The 17378-nt window shown below is 45.9% G+C and overlaps 2 long non-coding RNA genes across 4 annotated transcripts in view, besides 3 other annotated features; one reads left to right on the forward strand and one right to left on the reverse strand.

Annotated features, from left to right (window-relative positions):
* Positions 1816-2005: an enhancer, noted in NCBI's record as "active region_29727". NCBI's record gives its function as "activates an Ori minimal core promoter by ATAC-STARR-seq in GM12878 lymphoblastoid cells {active_cell/tissue: GM12878}" and the evidence as "EXISTENCE:reporter gene assay evidence [ECO:0000049][PMID:35858748]".
* On the forward strand, positions 4480-14230 carry LOC102723911 (uncharacterized). Of its 3 annotated transcripts, none has more exons than XR_430523.4 (5): positions 4480-4559; positions 7082-7231; positions 10057-10100; positions 10541-10592; positions 13570-14230. It is a non-coding gene; the product is annotated as an uncharacterized LOC102723911 (long non-coding RNA). The 3 variants fall into 3 exon arrangements; XR_938425.3 differs by having other exon boundaries at positions 13629-14230; XR_938426.3 differs by lacking the exon at positions 13570-14230 and adding an exon at positions 12004-12349.
* The window catches only part of LOC105373242 (uncharacterized), a 53390-nt gene continuing 40607 nt past the window's right edge, over positions 4596-17378 (reverse strand). The window contains exon 6 of the long non-coding RNA XR_001755876.1: positions 4596-5528. This is a non-coding gene — a long non-coding RNA (uncharacterized LOC105373242). The remainder of the gene's footprint in view (positions 5529-17378) is intronic.
* Positions 7011-7819: an enhancer, noted in NCBI's record as "H3K4me1 hESC enhancer chrX:68253378-68254186 (GRCh37/hg19 assembly coordinates)". NCBI's record gives its function as "activates a minimal SCP1, AML or CMV promoter by ChIP-STARR-seq in naive H9 embryonic stem cells {active_cell/tissue: H9 hESC(naive)}" and the evidence as "EXISTENCE:reporter gene assay evidence [ECO:0000049][PMID:30033119]".
* Positions 9904-10405: an enhancer, noted in NCBI's record as "H3K4me1 hESC enhancer chrX:68256271-68256772 (GRCh37/hg19 assembly coordinates)". NCBI's record gives its function as "activates a minimal SCP1, AML or CMV promoter by ChIP-STARR-seq in naive H9 embryonic stem cells {active_cell/tissue: H9 hESC(naive)}" and the evidence as "EXISTENCE:reporter gene assay evidence [ECO:0000049][PMID:30033119]".

Here is a 17378-nt window from a genome sequence, read left to right on the forward strand (position 1 = left end):
TGTGTGTGTGTGTGTGTGTGTGTGTGTGTGTGTGTTTGTGTAAGTGACTGGGGGTCATGGAGAAATACTGATAATTTTGATCCTTAAAATGATAGCCAGTCGGGTTCAGTGGCTCACACCTGTATTCCCAGAGCTTTGGGAGGCCAAGGCAGGTGAACCATTTAAGCCCAGGAGTTCAAGACCAGCCTAAGCAACATAGCAAGACACTGTCTCTACAAAAAAATAAAAAAATTAGCCAGATGTGGTGGCATATGCCTGTGGTCCCAGCTATGTGGGAAGATAGCTTGAGCTAAGAAGGTGGAGGCTGCAGTGAGCTGTGTTTGCACCACTTCACTCTAGCCTGGGCAACACAGTGAAACGCCATCTCATTAAAAAAAAAAAAAAAAAAGATAACCCCACTTCTATGTAGTGCTTTTCTGTGCCAGGCCCTGTGTAAGCATTTTGCATGTATTCATTTACTTGACCTCAAAACCACCCTGTGAGGTAGGTTGCTATTATTATCTCAGTTTTACAGATGGGGAAAATGAGGCACAGACAGATTAAGTAACTATCACATGTCACATAGCAGTCTGGCTCCAGTCTGCTTTCAGTCGCTATGTTGCACTGCCTCTTGTCTTACTTCCCTAATGGAATCTTCTTGAAGTAGACCTCTTGCCTGGGCCCGTAGTACCCAACAGGGCTCTCTGGCCTGGCCTGCTGCTCCTAAAATGCTTCCTTCCACCCATTTCTCTAGAACGTTCCTGCCAGCTGGGGCAGCTGCATGTGACCTCTCTGGGCCTGACGCCACCCACACCCCAGCAGACTCAGCTCTCAGCTTTATTCTTTGTGACAGTGAGACCTGGGACGATGATATGTGTGTGTCGAGGTGAGGGGTGGCTAAGCATGGGTGGCCTTTTGGAAGAGGGAGGCAACTCTGTCTGGGAGGAGGAACAGGAAAAGGAAAGAAAATGAGCATGAAACCAGTGGAGGAGGGGTGGAAGCTCCAGTCTTGCGCTTGGCCCACGCTGCTCTCAGCATTGCTGTGACCTGTACACACACTCAGGGCAACGTGAGGTGGGACTCGCTGAAATGTAAACAGGATGAGAAGATATGGGCTTCTGCAGGAGGCTTGTGGAATTGACTCATCATTTATAGCATGTGTGTATGTGTGTGTACATGCACAGGCCTGCTTACACACCCATATTCAAAAGAGAGACTGTAGCTGAGTGTGATCAGCCAGGTACATTTGTGGGATGCTGTGACTGTGTATGTCAGAAACATTGACGTCCTTGACTCCTGGAATTTCCCTGGACCTCTGGAAAAACCCAGGGGAGGTTTGGCAAGAGCTCCAGAGAATGTCTGAGAGGGTGCCGAGAGGGCCAGACTGGCTCTAGGAGGGGCTTTCCTCTGTGCTGAGATTACCAGCCCTCCTCCTACCCCTATGAGACAGCAGTCCTCAGCCTCCAGCACATGCCTGGAGAGTGGTGAGGCATTTCCTCTGAGCCTTACTCCGCAAAGGGAAGAGACAAGACGTCTGAGGAAAAGCTTGTGAGGAAACACCTGGGGTGAGCACCTGGACTGGCCTGGACTTGGCTGTCCCCGTTGTTGCCTAGAGCCTCAGGAACAATCCCAACGTCCCAGCTCTCTCCCAACCATGTGGTGTAGAGGAAGGAGAAAGGCCTTTGCAGTCCATCGGGATCTGGATTTTAACCCTTCCTCCATCACGTACCTGTCTTGGGACCTTGAGCCACCTCCCTCACAAGACTGAGCCTCTGTCTCCTCATCTATAAAGAGGCGTTATCTGTGTCCATAGAGAGCTTTCTAGGCATGAGGACAAGAGATGTTGGGTTAATCTGAAACAGTGGGTATGAATAAGGAGGACTAGTACTCAGGCACTGGGTTTGGGGCCTGTCAATCATCTGTTGATGTGTAAATAAAGAAGAGTCCAGCAAAGGGTCAAGTGCAGGATGGAAGACCCTTTCCCATCCTTCTTGCCCTAAGAGAGAGGAAGAGCTTCTGGAAACCCAGATTCTTGGCCTGGGAAGAGGTTGCTTTCAGTATCTGCCCACAGAAGGGGAAAGAGGAAGTGAGTATAACTGAAAGCTCTTTGAGAACAGGGACTGGCCCTCCTGTTCATTTCTGTGGCCCCCCTTCCCCCAGTTACCTAGCACTGGGCTTGGCAGAACATAGGCGCTCTGGCCACATTTATGAACTAAATATACAATCTCATTTGCAACCTCACAGCAACCCAATGGGATAGTTACTATCATCCTCCATTTTACAGTCATAAAGTGAGGGCCAGGAAGGCGAATGCATCTGCTCAGGGTCAAACTAGCTGTAGTAGCACAGCAGGGATGCAGTCTGTGTAACACAAGTCCATTCTTGTTCCATTGCACCACTCTGCTGTCTTCACCCCTAACTCTCTGTGATGCTGCCCTGATCAACACTCTGGCTGGTGGGGAAGGCCACTGGGTCAAATGGAGAGCCCCACAGGCAGAGATTGGTGAGGGGTGTGGGTGACAAAATTTCAGGCCACTCCTGACTTGAGCTGGATCCTAGCTGTTCTATTGCCACAAGTGTCCTAGGATCTCAGAGTGTGCTAGTAGTGGGCAAGACCACCTCTGATGAACACATACAATGAGGGACTATGGGGCAATGAGATGTTGGGAAAGGGAAAGGAAAAGGTGTGGGAAAGGACAACTGCTGAAAATAGCAGAGACAGGCACCCTGGCCTTCCTGGTTATCTATTGTATCTAAAGATACAATAAAGTACTTTGAGGTTCTTCCTGGAGTCTATCATAAGTCCTTCCTGCTGCTATCTAAACCCATTCTTTCTAGCTTTATTGCATCTGGGCTTCTATACAAACAACTTTTTACTGTACTTTAAATAACATCCTTTCAGGGGCTCTGGCCGGCAAAGAAAACTCCTCTACTCAAGCCAAGAGTGAGGAGAACTTGCACCAACTCTACCCAAGGAAATCAATTGCCGAACTCATTGCCTAAAGGGGCCTGAGTAAAAAGAGCCCTGGACTCAGCTTCTGGCTCTCCCAGTGACTGTCTGTAACTTTGGACATGTTATTTGGGCATTCTGTGCCCCAGTTCCCACATGTAGAGTAGGTATTATCCATTGACCTCCTATCTTAGGAGCATGGCAAACAGTCACTGCTCAATAATCAGAGTTGTGGTCTGGTGATAACATGAATCTGCATCTTCATGGAATTCCGCTCACTGATTCCTGCGCCTTTGACTTGCCTTGGCTGAGAGTTTACACATCAAGTCTAGCCCTCAGCTCCAGCCCTCGGCTTGTACCTGCACAGTTCTGGGAGGCCTGCGTAGTGCCCTGCGCTACCCCAGGAGCCGCCTATGCCTGAGCAGTATCTCCTCCCAGCCTTCCGGCTCCACGATTCTTTCCCAGTGGCCACCCTGACTTCTACAGCTCCGCAGCTGCTCTCTGTACAATATGACTGCCCCATCTTCTGTTTCTCTGAAAGCTCCTAGGATTGCTTTTTAGCCAGGGACCCCTGAGTCACATACCCAGGCCTCCAGTGTTCAGAAGCCATGTCAATGCATCCAGCTCTGAATTTACATTTGCATTTCCAAAGCCCAATTTACATTACAATTATTCCTGTCTTGCCATGCAGGGGGACTCCACACATATTTTGGGGGAGGCCTTCTGGCCAACTCTAAGGATTGACAATCACATCTTCTTGGGCCTCATTCCCCTAGCACTAGGGCTTTTTTTCTTGGTTTCTTAGAGTGACCACACAACCATATCTTTCATTCTTACTCCTTTTCCAGGTAGGAAGTATATCTGGGCCACTCTAACCAACAGGGCTGAACCCACTTAACAGTCCTTGTCATGGTATTCTGTCCCATTCCTGACTCCAACCAGTTGGAATACAAAGGATATACATTTTGTGCATCAATTTAGCAAAAATTTAAAATAGTGGCCAAGGTTGCGGTGAGATGGGCAATCTCATGTACTGCTGGTGGAAGTGTAAATTGGTATAGCCTTTTTGGCAGGCAATTTGGAAATATCAAGACCCTTAAAAACAGGTATACATTGTGACTCGATAATTACCCTTACAGGAACTGACACTAAAGAAATATCTGCAAATTTGGATTAAAATATATGTAAAAGCAATTCATAAAAACAGTAATAAGCTAAATGTCCACCATAAGAAAATTAAATACATACAATTATCTACAATTTATAAGGATATTATGGAGGAAAAATTTGCTCATGCTATAACGTTAAGCTAAAATATGAAGAATACCAAATCATAGATACAGCATGATCCTGATTTTTTGTTTTTACTAACAGTAAACGTTCATATAAAAAGACTAGAAGGAAATTAACCAATTGTTAACAGTGTCTGACTCTAGGTGGTGGGATTATAGTGGATTATAATAATAAAAGCTAACACTTGTATAGCGCTTTTCTCAGCACTTTACATATATTTATATACACTTACTCCTTATATCTATCCTACAGGAGAAATACCATATTATCCCCATTTTGCAGATGAGGAGACAGAAGTGGAGAGAGGTGAAGTGACTTGCTCAACATCACACAGTTGGTAATTTTCTTCTTTGTAATTGTCATTCTCCAGATTCTCCACTATGAGTATGTTTGACTTTTATAATCAGAACAAAAATGCACAGGGATAAGCTTTGTTAAGAAAAATTGAAGGGTACTGTGGCTTACAGGGCCTCCTTGGCCCAGCTGGAGACAGCTCTACTGAGCAGCCAGTTTTTATGTGGCACTGCAGGTCTTGGGGTCTTTGTGATCTTCTCTTGGCCTATCCTGTCTGGCCACAGCCCACCGCTCAGGGCCTGCCCCTCTCCTGCTTGATATGCCTCATGGCTAATGCCCCACCTCCCCACCTACTGGCCTTTGTCCCTTGCAGGGAAAGCCTACTTTGCTAGCTGGACGCTCACCTCTACTGTCCATCCCTGGAATAGCAGAGGCTGGCAGTGGGCTGGCTTTGCCTACCAGCCCCATCTCAGGGACATCACCAAGGGGGATGTGGAGGGGGACATTTATCTTCAGGCCCCTGTCCCCGAAGATTCTACAGAGATTTGTTGTTTTCAACTGTAACAGAGAGGTGGCATTGTCTAGAAAGGGGCTGACCTCCTTACCTTGGCCCTGGGCCCTCTTTACTCTGCAGAGGCCACTGCCCCATCTTTTCCTGGCTTGACCACTGCTTACACAGGTCACAAGCACTTCTGTGTGGGTGCAAGCATCAGCCACCCAGCTTTCCTGGGATCACACCTGGCTGCAAGCTGGTTCAAGTAAAAATGGAAGCTCTCTGGAGGGGAGGAGTAACTGCAGCTCTGTGCCTTCTCGTGCCCTCTTCATGCCATGCCCTGGCCACTGTTCCAAATCCAGATTCCAGGAATGTTTAGCAAGGCCTGCGGGGTGGGATGTGGAGGCTGGTCCCCAGAATATGGGGAGCAAGAAGCGGGCAAGAGGGTGCTATGAGTTCTCTTGCAGGCTGGAGGAGGAGCAGCAGATCCCACTGTAGGCAGCTTTGCTTCTTGGCCCTCTGGAAGGCAAGAACAAAATGGAGTTTGGGAAAAATAATTGATAGGATGCCTGGGATCTTGTCCTGGCTTGTCCTCTAACTGTCTGTGTGACCCAAGCAAGGCCCTTCCCTTCTCTGGGCCCCAGAATCCTTCTCTGGAAAATGACAAGAACAGTGATCCATTTCACTAGGCTGTCATGAGAATCAAGAGACACCTACACAGGATGGGAATGCAGTTTGTATAGTAGAAAACAGGGTGGAATCGTGAGCTGGTTAGGAAGCTGAGAGATTCTGAGTCAGTACTTTTCCCTCTCCAAGGCTCCATTTCCTTATCTGTGTAAGTACACTGGGGAGTGCGTGCTCTTCAACAACTTTGTGAAAGCAACGAGCCCATTTCCTATAAAAGTACACAGCAAACAAAGTGTTGCACATGATTTCAGGAAGGCCTTTAATTTCATGGGTCTCTTTTTGGGCCACTTCCAGGCCAGAAACCCCTGTCCTAGGTGAAGGCTTTAACCCCTTGTCTAGCCAGCTTTCTGGGTGTTAGGCAGCCTCTGCTCACACACCTGTGGTGATAGAGAACTCACTCCTTGCCAGGTAACTGGTTCCACCCTTGCAGACCTCTGACTTTGCTTATGCTCAGCTGAAATCTGCCTCCCTGGAGGCTTCTCAGAGGCTTCCCTGCCTAAGGAAGCTGAAAAATGCCTGGGGCCAGGTGTGCTCTGGGCTCTGGGTTATCTGGGCAAGAGCATGACTCAAAGCCAAGTCAGCTACTTTGCTGCTGCTGCTCCCAGAGGTGGATGCTGGATTTTCTGCCTCATAAAGTTGTCCACCAAGTCACTCTGGAGGCAGCTTGTGGCCGGGCTCTGGCAGCCAGCTGGTCTGCTCAACTTCCCCCAAGGAAGGGGGCAGCTGGAGGTGGGGTCTTGACAACACCTCTTGCACTAGCCTGCAGCACTCTCAAAACCAGGGTTAAAAGACCTACCCCCACCCCCACCATCCCTCCAGCATGGGATGATGTCCTGGTGTGAGCTCAGGAGCTAGAGAGAGCAGGTTTCAACTCAGAGATCCTAATAGTAAATACCTCAACCAGGAGCAAGGAGTGTTAAATAAAGTAATGAATGTAATGAACATCAGTTCCCTTCCTCCTGCTGCCCCCTCCCTAGGCCTGTCCATTTCAGCGGGGCAGAGTTAGTGTGAAGCAACTAGATTGAGCATTTCTTGAGTATTTAGTATGGACCATGTTCTGGGCATGTTAGATCTTGAGAAGAAACCCATCAATATGTTCAACTTAATTGCCCAAGTTCACACAGCTGGTAAAGAATGATGAGGAATTTGAACCCAGGTCTGGCTTCCCTAAACACACATTCATAACATGGCATCATCCTGCCTCCAGGCAAGGGGTGAAGATGATACCCTCCCACATAAAGCGGCTTCTTTTTTAAGGTTCTTTCAGGACCACCATTCAGATTGTTCTAGGGGAAAAAGAAGCAAAAAGGTTAATGGATTCCCTTAGCCCCCAAATCCTCACCAAATTGTGCATGGAGTAACTTCTCCCTCTCTGCCGACGCCAGCCTTCCCACGTGTGTGAGACCATTGCTGTGGAAAGAAGCCGGGCCTGACTTCAGGGATCTGGTGTGAAATGACTGGACCCATGCGTTCTGAGTAAACAAGAGAGCCCCTTCTGGCTTCTCCGGGAGGAACCAAATGGCTTCAGCATTCAGGTAGGCAAGAGAGGCCCGTGAAAGGAAGTTTGTTCAGCTCGGATCAAGAGAAACAGATACTTCTTGGGTGGCAGGGTGAGGCATTTGGTGGTCTGAGCTGAGGGTAGGAACAGGGTGGAGTACCAGAGAAGCCTGGGGAAGAGGGCGACACAGAGCTGGAGTAGGGCTTGCCCAAGGCCTCTGGGGCCCTGGGCTGAGAGGGAGATGGGGCTCCTGTGCCTGTCCAGTTTACCCTCTAAGGCACCCTCAGTTAGCCTCTGCTTCCCTCAGGGCCCGCTCCCCGCCTGGCCAGAGCCTAACTCCACCTCAGAAAAGGCATTCCTGGGCTTTCCCAAGGCAGACCTGGCAGGCCATTGCCATGGCAGCCAGGGATTGCTGGGAGGAGGAGCAGGAGAGGAGCGACCCGGGAACTGTTCCTGCAGGAAGGCATTTCCTGGGTCCTTCGGTGCCTAACCTGAGGGGATGTTGCTCTCTGTGGCTTATGGCTGGCAATTGAGGTTATGGCCTTCCTCAGCCCACCCAAGGCCAGTCTCCAGTCTGAATGTGGTGTGTGTGTGCGTGCATGTGTGTGTGTGTGTGTGTATGTGTGTGTATCTGTTAGTCTGTATATGTGTGTGGGTATACCAAACCCCGGGGGGGGCCACATGTGTGTATGGATAAGTGTGTATGTGTACACTCATGGGGGTACACAGAGGCCCCACAAGAGCAGGGGCCCTATATGTATGTATGTCTTTGTGAATGTTTCTTGAAACAGTAGGGAGAGGAGGAGAAAAGACAAAAGCCTTAAATGACTCTGGCTTTTGGAGGAGCCAGCCCAGTGTGGCGGGTGTAGGGAGCGGGCCGGCCAGGGGCCTGATTGGAACCAGACTCAGCAAGGAGGGGCTGTAAATGTTTTTTGCTGCCTGTCCTGAGAAATTTATGTCACACCCACTCCATCATCCTGGCGGGGGCAGCTTCTCCCAGCTGCCTGTGGTTCTGGGCTTTCCAGCGTTACCAGCAACCACTATGGGGGTCCCTGAGCCTCCCTCAGTCCCGGGCTTGGGTGGACCCATCCCATAATGTCCTGAGGCTGACAGGGATGCTCCAAGCATGGGTGGATGAAGAGGAGGAGGAGAGAGCCTTCCCACAGAGCCTGAACATGGGGTCGGGAACACATTGTGGAGGTGTAGGGAAGAAGAAGACAGGAGAGGGGGCTGTGCTGCATTCAGAATCTCTTCTCTGCCCTCTTCCCCTCTTAATGGGGGATAGAGACCTACAGTAGACAAAGAAGGACAAGATGGCCCCTGAAGTAGGTTTCAGAGACCATTTGGTATATGATGAAAACTGAAGCCCAGAGATGAAAAGGGACTTGCTCAAGGCCGTGCATCAAGGGAGCCAACGGCAGGGCCAAGACTGCAACCCAGCCTCTACCCATCCTGCTCTATGTGGCCTTTCTCTCCACCTCACAGCCAGAGACCTGTCTCAACCTAGGATTTGGCCCTGTCTTTTTCTGATCATGTTACTCCATCCTTAAAATCCTCCACTGGCTTCCCTTTGTTCTTAAGAAAAAGACAAGACTCCTGACCACAAATTACAGGGTCTGCCTTGATCTAGCCCCTGCGTACCTCTCCAACCACATCTTGTACTAAACTCCCAAGCTCCCTCCTGCCTCTGGGCCTTTGCACATGCTGTGCCCTCTTCCCGAGTTGATCTTCCTCCTCTTTTTCTGTTATTTGACTCCTACTTCGACTTTAGAACACAGCTCAAGTGTATCTTCCTCAAGGAAACGTCCACATATGTTCCTGGCTGGGACACATTTTTTCATTTTGTACTCTCATGGCACCATGGACCTCTCCTCCATGGCACTTCTCACTGTTGCGGTTTTTCTTTTGTTGTGTTACTTTGTGATGAATGGCTACCTTCCCTGCCAGACTCAGAGCTCCATGAGGACAGGAACCACAGCTGCTTTGGCTCGCCAATACTATCCTAGTGCTCAGGGCAGGCCAGGCAAATGACCACAATAATGACAAGGACATCAGGAGCTAATATTTGAGGCTTACCATGTGCCAGGCGCTCTTGCAGCTGCATTACTTAGAATAAAAAAATGTGATCACAAACTATTTGAGGTAGTTACTATCATTATCCCCAACATACAGATCAGGAAACTGGGACAGAGAAGTTAAAGAACTATACCGAGGTCACACAGTGAGTAGTGAAACTGGGATTTGAACCCAGGCAGTGTGGCTCCAGAGCCTGTGTTTTGACCTCTACCACCATAAGTGCTCAATAATAAATATTTGTTGATGACATGTTTTTGTCTGAGCCTCCTCAACTTCAATCCTTGAGGGAGTTCCAGCCACTGAGCACCTCCCTGGATCTTGGAGTGGTCCCACCCAGAACACCCTGCCACCTCCCCAGGTCACTTCTTCTGAGTCCCCTTTCCTGGCTTCCCCTGTACACACTGCTTGCCTCTGCTACTCCCTGGGATAACATGAGAAGTTTCTAGGGCTGGGCAATGTCCCTGGGTTTAGAGAGGTACTTTCCCACGTTGAACACTGGCTCTGGTCATTACATCTCAACCCAGAGTCCACTGACTTGCTCTCAGCTCTCCAAGCTCAACCCCTTCCCAGCTGTGTGCCAAGCTGATTCACCTCCCTGAGCCTCAGTCTCCCCTTCTGTGAAATAGAGCTAATCACAGTACTGCACAGTAGGGTTTTGAGGATTCAGTGAGTTTGCCTGTGGGTAGTTTGTATCTGCAAAGCACAAGACCCTTACTAGTTATCACTTGTGTCATTGTTATTAACAATAAGTAAGATGTAAACTGAAACTTTCTTCATCATTTCTAGCTCCAAAGCCCGATGGAGACCAAGAGTGATACACTGTACTCATGGTAGGTGTTCAATGTGCCCTCTTTTTGCCTGCTCACCCTCACTACACCCTAGACAAGCTTAGGACTGGTTAGGAATCCCCAGCCCTGCGTGAGGGAGGGGGCAGAACTCTATCACCCCACCGCTTCCCCTCTCTATCAGCCCCCCACCGGCCTTGCTGTCTCTCTGCCAGGCCAAAGGCAAGGGAACACACCGCCTTCACCAGCCCCACCTCCTAGGCCCCAAGAGCCCTGCCCCCTCCCTGCCATGGCATCTTGAACAGAGCTGAGTCTATGGCTCTTGGTGGGGGGTGGCTGTGGGATGGGGGTGCCGCCGAGAGAGGAGGGTTACAAAAGCTGTGCCTTGCTTTCCCAGTGGCCTCCCAGGGGCCAATGAATGCACAGAGCCGCAGCCTGGGGGCAGCCAGCGTGTTTTCATTTTGCTCTGTTTGTTTTCTGTTTAGATCAACTGCTCAGTTCTGGTTTGGGCCTCTGAGGGCTGATGGGGTTTGGCAGGTAAGAATTTCTGAGGCCACCCATCTCTGCCTTTTACAGGGCTATGGGCTCAGCTCCCACCAGCCCCTGCAGGAGCAGGAAGGCAGCCTGATCTACTGCCTTACTAACCTCTTTCTTTACTTTCCTCTCTCTTTCTTTTTTCTCTTTTTCTTCTCTTTTTTTCTCTCTCTTTCTTTCCTTCTTTCTTTCTTCTTTCTCTCTTTCTTTCTTTCCTTTCTTTCTCTACTCCCTACCCCAACTCTCTCTTGCTCCCTCTCCCCTCTGTCTCTCACATCTCTCTCTCTCTCTCTCTCTCGCTCGCTCACTCACTCGCTCGCTCTCGCTCTCAGTTTGTTCCTGTCTCTTACTGACTCCCTGTGCAGTAGCTTTTTCTGTTTTGCCATCTGTCTCCCTTTTTTTTTTTCTATTTCTCGATTTCTTTTTCTACAAAGAAGAAAAAGAAATCCAAGCCTGGGCTTTAAGAGGCCTGAGTTCTGGCTCAGCTTCTACCCTAGCTCTCTCTGAGTAACCTTCAATAAGTAGTTCTTTCCCATCTCTGAGCCTCAGTTTCCCCATCTGCACACTGAAGGCTCTAACTTACGTGACCGCTGAAATCTAAGCTAGAAGATCTTGTGATTATTTACTCCTTACAGGGGATAAAAGGGAGGGAATGGATCAGATTCTCTAGGGAGCAGGACCACACAGTGCAGCCTAGATGGCAGGAGAAAGGGAGGTCAGTGGAGTGTCTCCTTGGGCAGTGAGGGCTCATGGGAAAGGGCAGAGATGAAGGAGACCACCCTTGCTGGTACCAAAAACCCAGTCTAGAGAACCCAAGGAACCGACAGAGACCTGGGGTCTGGAAAGGTAGAGGCGCCCACCCAGCAGTGGCAGGGGACAGGGCTTAAAGAGCAGCACACTGGTCTTGATGTTTGGTGTTCCATCTGCATTCCATGCAGCCTGGGATCAAGCCAAAGGCCAGAGGCCCTCTATCTTCCAGCTTACCTCTCTTCTCTCTGTGGCATCTACCCGATACTCTCTGGTGACTTAAGGGTGGATGAGTAGGGGCTAGAGAGTGTCACCCATCCTTGCATGGCCTCCTCCTCTCGTCTCACCAGCACCTCAGACCTACTGCACACCAAACCAAACTCCTTCTCCATTCCCACCCATGCCTCCTCGTCCTCCTTGCTTCTTTTCCTGAACGAATGGTGCAGCCATCCTCCTAGGAGCTCAGGCCCTGGCTCTGGCTTCCCCCCACCTCCCACATCCAGTCTATTTCTAATCATGTGGCCTCTACCTCCTTCCTCTCCCGCCCCCAGGCCTCTCCAACGCCCCCACCTACTGCCATGGCCCCAGTCCTTTCGACCACCATTTCTCACCCAGCTCCTTCCACAACCACCTCTTGTGACCATGTCTTCTGTCTCACCACCCCTAGTTCTGCCTCCACACAGCTGCCAAGGCCACCATAATTCTGGGACCTAGGAGTAATTTCAAAGGTTTGGCTGTTACATATACAGCTGTTATAAACATCTGTGTGGGTGTCTTTCCAAATGGAATTGCTGGTTCATGGGTAAGCATACATTCAACTTTCACAGATATTGCCTCATAGTTTGCCAAAGGGTTGTACCAATTTACACTCCTGCCAGCAGTGCATGAGAGTTTTGGTGACTCTCATCTTCACCAATATTTGGGCATTTGTATTTTCTTTCATTTTATTCATTCTAGTGTGTTGATGATGACATCTCATTACAGTTTTAATTTACATTTTCTTTTTGACTAAGTGGAGCACCTCTTCATATATTTATTGTCTATCTTGATATTCTATTTTTGTGAAGTGCCTGTCAAAGTCCTTTGCACATTTTTCTATTGGGTTGCATAATACATTCTGAATTATGACTCCTTTGTCAGATATATCTATTGCAAATATTTTCTCACATTCCGTGGGTTGTCTTTTCATTCTCCTACCATAACCTTTTGATGACCAGTATGTTTTTATTTTAATATAGTCCAAATTATCAAATTTCCTTTTCATGGATAGCATTTTTAGAGAAATATTTGTATACTCCAAGGGGACAAAGTTGTTCTCCTATATTTTCTTCTAAAAGCTTTATTGTGTTGCCTTTCACATTTATGTTTGCAATCTATCTGGAACTGACTTCTGTGTATGGTGTGAGGCAGGGTCAAGATACAGATTTTTGTTTCCCTATGGCTATCCAACTGATCCAACACCATTTATTTATTTATTTTTTTTAAAAAAGAACCTCCAATGTACTGCAGTGTCATTTTTGTCATAAATTAAGTAATCATATATGTGTGGCTTTGTGTTTGAATTTTCTCTTCTTTCCATTTGGCAGTTTCTATATCCTTGTGCCAGTACCACAATGTCTTAACTACTATAGCTTTCTATGTCTTGATATCTGGTAGTAAGAGTTCTCCAGCTATATTCTTCTCCTTTAATATTACCTGGGAAATTCCTGGCCCTTTGCATTCCCATCTGAATTTTAGAACCAATTTGACCATTTTCAATTTAAAAAAGCACTTGCTGGGATTTTTGCATGAAATCACATTGACTGTATGGATTAATTTGGAGAGAACTGACTTCTTGGGAATATTAATTTTTTCTAAATCACAGATATGGTTTATCCCTTAATTTATTTATGTCTCCTTTATTTCTCTCCATAACGTTTTATAGTTATTGGTGTCAAGATTTTTCACATTCTTCATTAGATTTATTCCTATTTCATATTTATGCTATTACAAATGATAAGGTTCTTAAAACCTCATTTTTCTATTTTTTGCTGCTATATGGAAATATAATGAATCTTTGCATATTGACTTTCTATCCAGTGATCTGGTTAAATTCACTTATCAGTTTTATTATTTTGTCAATAGAGTCTTCGGATTTTCTATGTACACAATCATGTCGAATGCAAATAATGGCAATTTTACTTCATCCTTTCCAATCTTTTATTTCTTTTGCTTGCCTTATTGCACTGATTAGAACCTCCAGCACAATGTTGAATGGAAATGGTGATAGTGGGCATCTTGTCTTGTACCCAGTCTCACTATGTGGAAGCTTCACTATTTCACAATGAAGGCCCAGCACGGTGACTCAAACCTGTAATCCCAGCACTTTGGAGGGCTGAGGCAAGTGGATCACCTGAGATCAGGAGTTCAAGACCAGTCAAGACCAGCCTGGCCAACATGGTGAAACCCCATCTCTACTAAAAATACAAAAACAAACAAACAAAAAAATCAGCCAGCTGTGGTGGCGCATGCCTGTAGTCCCAGCTACTCGGGAGGCTGAGGCAGGAGAATCACTTGAACCCAAGAGGAGGAAGTTGCAGGAGTCAAGATCATACAACTGCATTCCAGCCTGGGTGACAGAGCAAGACTCCATCTCAAAAAAAAAAAAATTCACAATGAAGTATGTTGTTTGCTGAAGGTTTTCATAGATGCCCTTTGCCAGGTTGAGGAAGCTCCCTTCTGTTCCTAATGTGTTGAGACTTTTATCATGAATGTGTGTTAAATTTTGTAAAATGCTTTTTACGCATTTATCATGATTTTTCTCCTTTTTACTGTTAGGTGAATTACAATGATTGGTTTTTGATTGTTAAACCACCCTTGAATTCCTGGATTAAAACTCATCTAGTCGTAATGAATTATTCTTTTAATATTTTGCTGGACTCCATTTGTTAATATTTTATTTTACTTTATTTTATTTTGAGACAGGGTCTAGCTCTGTCACCCAGGCTGGAGTGTAGTGGTGCAGTCATAGCTCACTGTAAGCTCAAACTCCTGGGGTAACATGATCCTCCCACTTTGGCCTCCCAAAGTGCTAGGGTTATAGGTGTGAGCCACTGTGCCTGGCCAGCTAATATTTTAAATCATGCTTTTTTTGTGATAATTGTAGATTCACATGCAGTTGTAAGAAATAATACAGAGATATATTGTATCCTTTGCCAAGTTTCTCCCAATGTTAATATCTTGCAAAAATACAGTACGGTATTACAACCAGGATGTTGACATTGATTCAGTCAAGTTGCAGAACAGGCTGAGCTCATGCCTGTAATCCTAGCACTTTGGGAGACTGAGGCAGGAGGATCGCTTGAGTCTAGGAGTTTAAGACAAGCCTGGGCAAAATAGCAAGGTCTTGTATCTACAAAAAATTTAGAAAAAAAAAATAGCTGGGTTGCCTGTAATCCAAGCACTTTGGGAGGCCAAGGCAGGCAGATCACCTGAGGTCAGGAGTTTGAGACCAGCCTGGCAAACACGGTGAAACCTTGTCTCTACTAAAAATACAAAAATTAGCTGGGCATGTTGGCAAGTGCCTGTAATCCCAGCTACTTGGGAGGCTGAGGCAGGAGAATGGCTTGAACCTGGGAGGTGGAGGTTGCAGTGAGCTGAGATCACGCCACTGCACTCCAGCCTGGGCGAAAGAGCGAAACTCACTCTCAAAAAAAAAAAAATAGCTGGGTGTGGTGCTGCATGCCTGTAGTCCCAGCTACTTGGGAGCCTGAGGCGGGAGGATGGCTTGAGCTCAAGAGGTCACAGTGAGCTGTGATCATGCCACTGCACTCTAGCCTGGGCAAAACGGCAAGATCCTGTCTCAATAAATAAATAAATAATAAAGTTCCAAAACAGTTCCATCACAAGAATCCCTCCTATTGCCTTTTATAGCTATGCCCACTTCCTTCCTGCTCCCACCTCCTCTTTAAACCCTGGCAACCACTAATCTTTTCATTTCCAAAAGTTTGTCATTTCAAGAATGTTATATAATGGAGTCACACACTACATAACCATGTGGTATTAGTTTTTTGACTTAGCATAATTCTCTAAAGATTCATCCAAGCTGTTGCATGTATGTTTGTTCCTTTTTATTGCTGAGTAGTATTCTGTGGTATGGATGTACCAGTTAGCCAGCCACTCGTTGAAAGACATCTGGGCTGTTTCCAGTTTTGGGCTATTACAAAGAAAGCTGCTATAAACATTCACGTACAAATTTTTGTGTAAACATTAATTTTAAATTCTCTGGTATAAATGTCTGAGTGCAACTGCTAGGTCATATGGTAGTTGCTCACTTAATTTTTATAAGAAACTACCAAACTCTTGTGTAGAATTACTGTACCATTTTACATCTCCAGCGGCAATGTACGAGTGACCCAGTCTCTGCATTCTCACTAGCATTTTTTATTGTCACTTTTTTAGGCCAATTGATAACTATGTAGCAATAACTTATTGTGGTTTTAATTTGCACTGATGATGTTGACTAACTTTTCATGTGCTTATTTGCCATCTGTAGATCTTCTGTGGTGAAATGTCTCTTCATGTCTTTTGCCCATTTTCTCACTGGATTGTTTGTTTTGTTTTACTGTTGAGTCTTAAGAGTTCTTCATATATTCTAGATACAAGTCCTATGTCAAATACATGTTTTGCAAATATTCTCTCCCAGTCTATAGTTTAACTTTTCATCTATTTTATTGCAGAATGTAAGTATTTAATTTGATGAAGTCTAATTTATCCATCTTTTCTTGTATGAATCATGCTTTTGATATCAAGTCTAAGACTTCTTCACTAATGCCTAGGTCCTGAAGATTTTCTCCCATGTTTTCTTCTAAATAATTTGTAGTTCTATGTTTTATATTTAAATCTATGACTCATTTTCAGTTAATTTTTGTGTAAGGTGTGAAGTCTAGGTTGAGGTTTGTCCTTTTGTTTATGAATTTCCAATTGTTCCAGCCTAATTTGTTGAAAAGGCTGTCTTTCCTCCATTGAGATGCTTCTGTACCTTGGTCAAAAATCAGTTGGGGGCTGGGCGCGGTGGTCACACCTGTAATCCCAGCACTTTGGGAGGCCGAGGTGGATGGATCACTTGAGCTCAGGAGTTTGAGAGCAGCCTGGGCAATATGGTGGAACTTCATCTCTACCAAAAATACAAAAAAAAATTAGCCAGGCATGATGGCACAAGCCTTTAGTCCCAGCTATTTGGGAGGCTGAGGCAGGAGGATCACTTGAGCCTGGGAGACGGAGGTTGCAATGAGCTGAGAGCACACCACTGCACTCTAGCCTGGGTGACAGAGCAAGACTCTGTCTCAATAAATAAATAAATAAATAAATAATAAATAAATAAAATTCAGTTGAGCATATTTTTGTAGATCTGCTTCTGAGTTCTCTATTCTGTCCATTGATCTATGTCTCTCTCTCTCTCTCTCTCTGCCAGTGCCACACAGTCTTAATGACAGTAGCTATGTAATAAGTCTTAAAATCAGGTAGTGTGATTCCTCCCACTGTGTTCTTCTTTTGCAAAATTGTATTAGCTATTCTAGTTCCTTTGCCTTTTCATATAAATTTTAGAATAATCTTGTCTATGTCTACAAAAATGCTTGTTGGAATTTTGATAAGAACAACACTAAACTTGCATAGTAGTTTGAGAGAACTGACATCTTTACTATGTTGAATCTTCCAATCCATGAACTCCTGGGTATGTTTCTCCGTTTTTTTTTAGCTCTTTGATTTCTTTCATCAGCATATTGTGATTTTCAACAGACAAATCTTTTGCATTTTGTTAGATTGACACCTAATTATTTTTTTGGTGAGATTATAAATGGTATTGCATTTTTAATTTTGATATGCACATGTTCATTGCTAGTATATAGAATACAGTTTATTTCTGTATGTTTGTCTTGTATTCTGTTACCTTGCTGAACTTGCTTGTCAGTTCTGGGAGGGTTTTTTTTTTATGGATTCCTTGAGATTTTCATGCCTTCTGCAAATCAGAGCCAATTTATTTATTTTCCAATCTGTATGCCC

The sequence above is a fragment of the Homo sapiens genome, chromosome X, assembly GCF_000001405.40.
Source record: "Homo sapiens chromosome X, GRCh38.p14 Primary Assembly".
In the NCBI taxonomy this organism is placed as follows: Eukaryota; Metazoa; Chordata; class Mammalia; order Primates; family Hominidae; genus Homo; species Homo sapiens.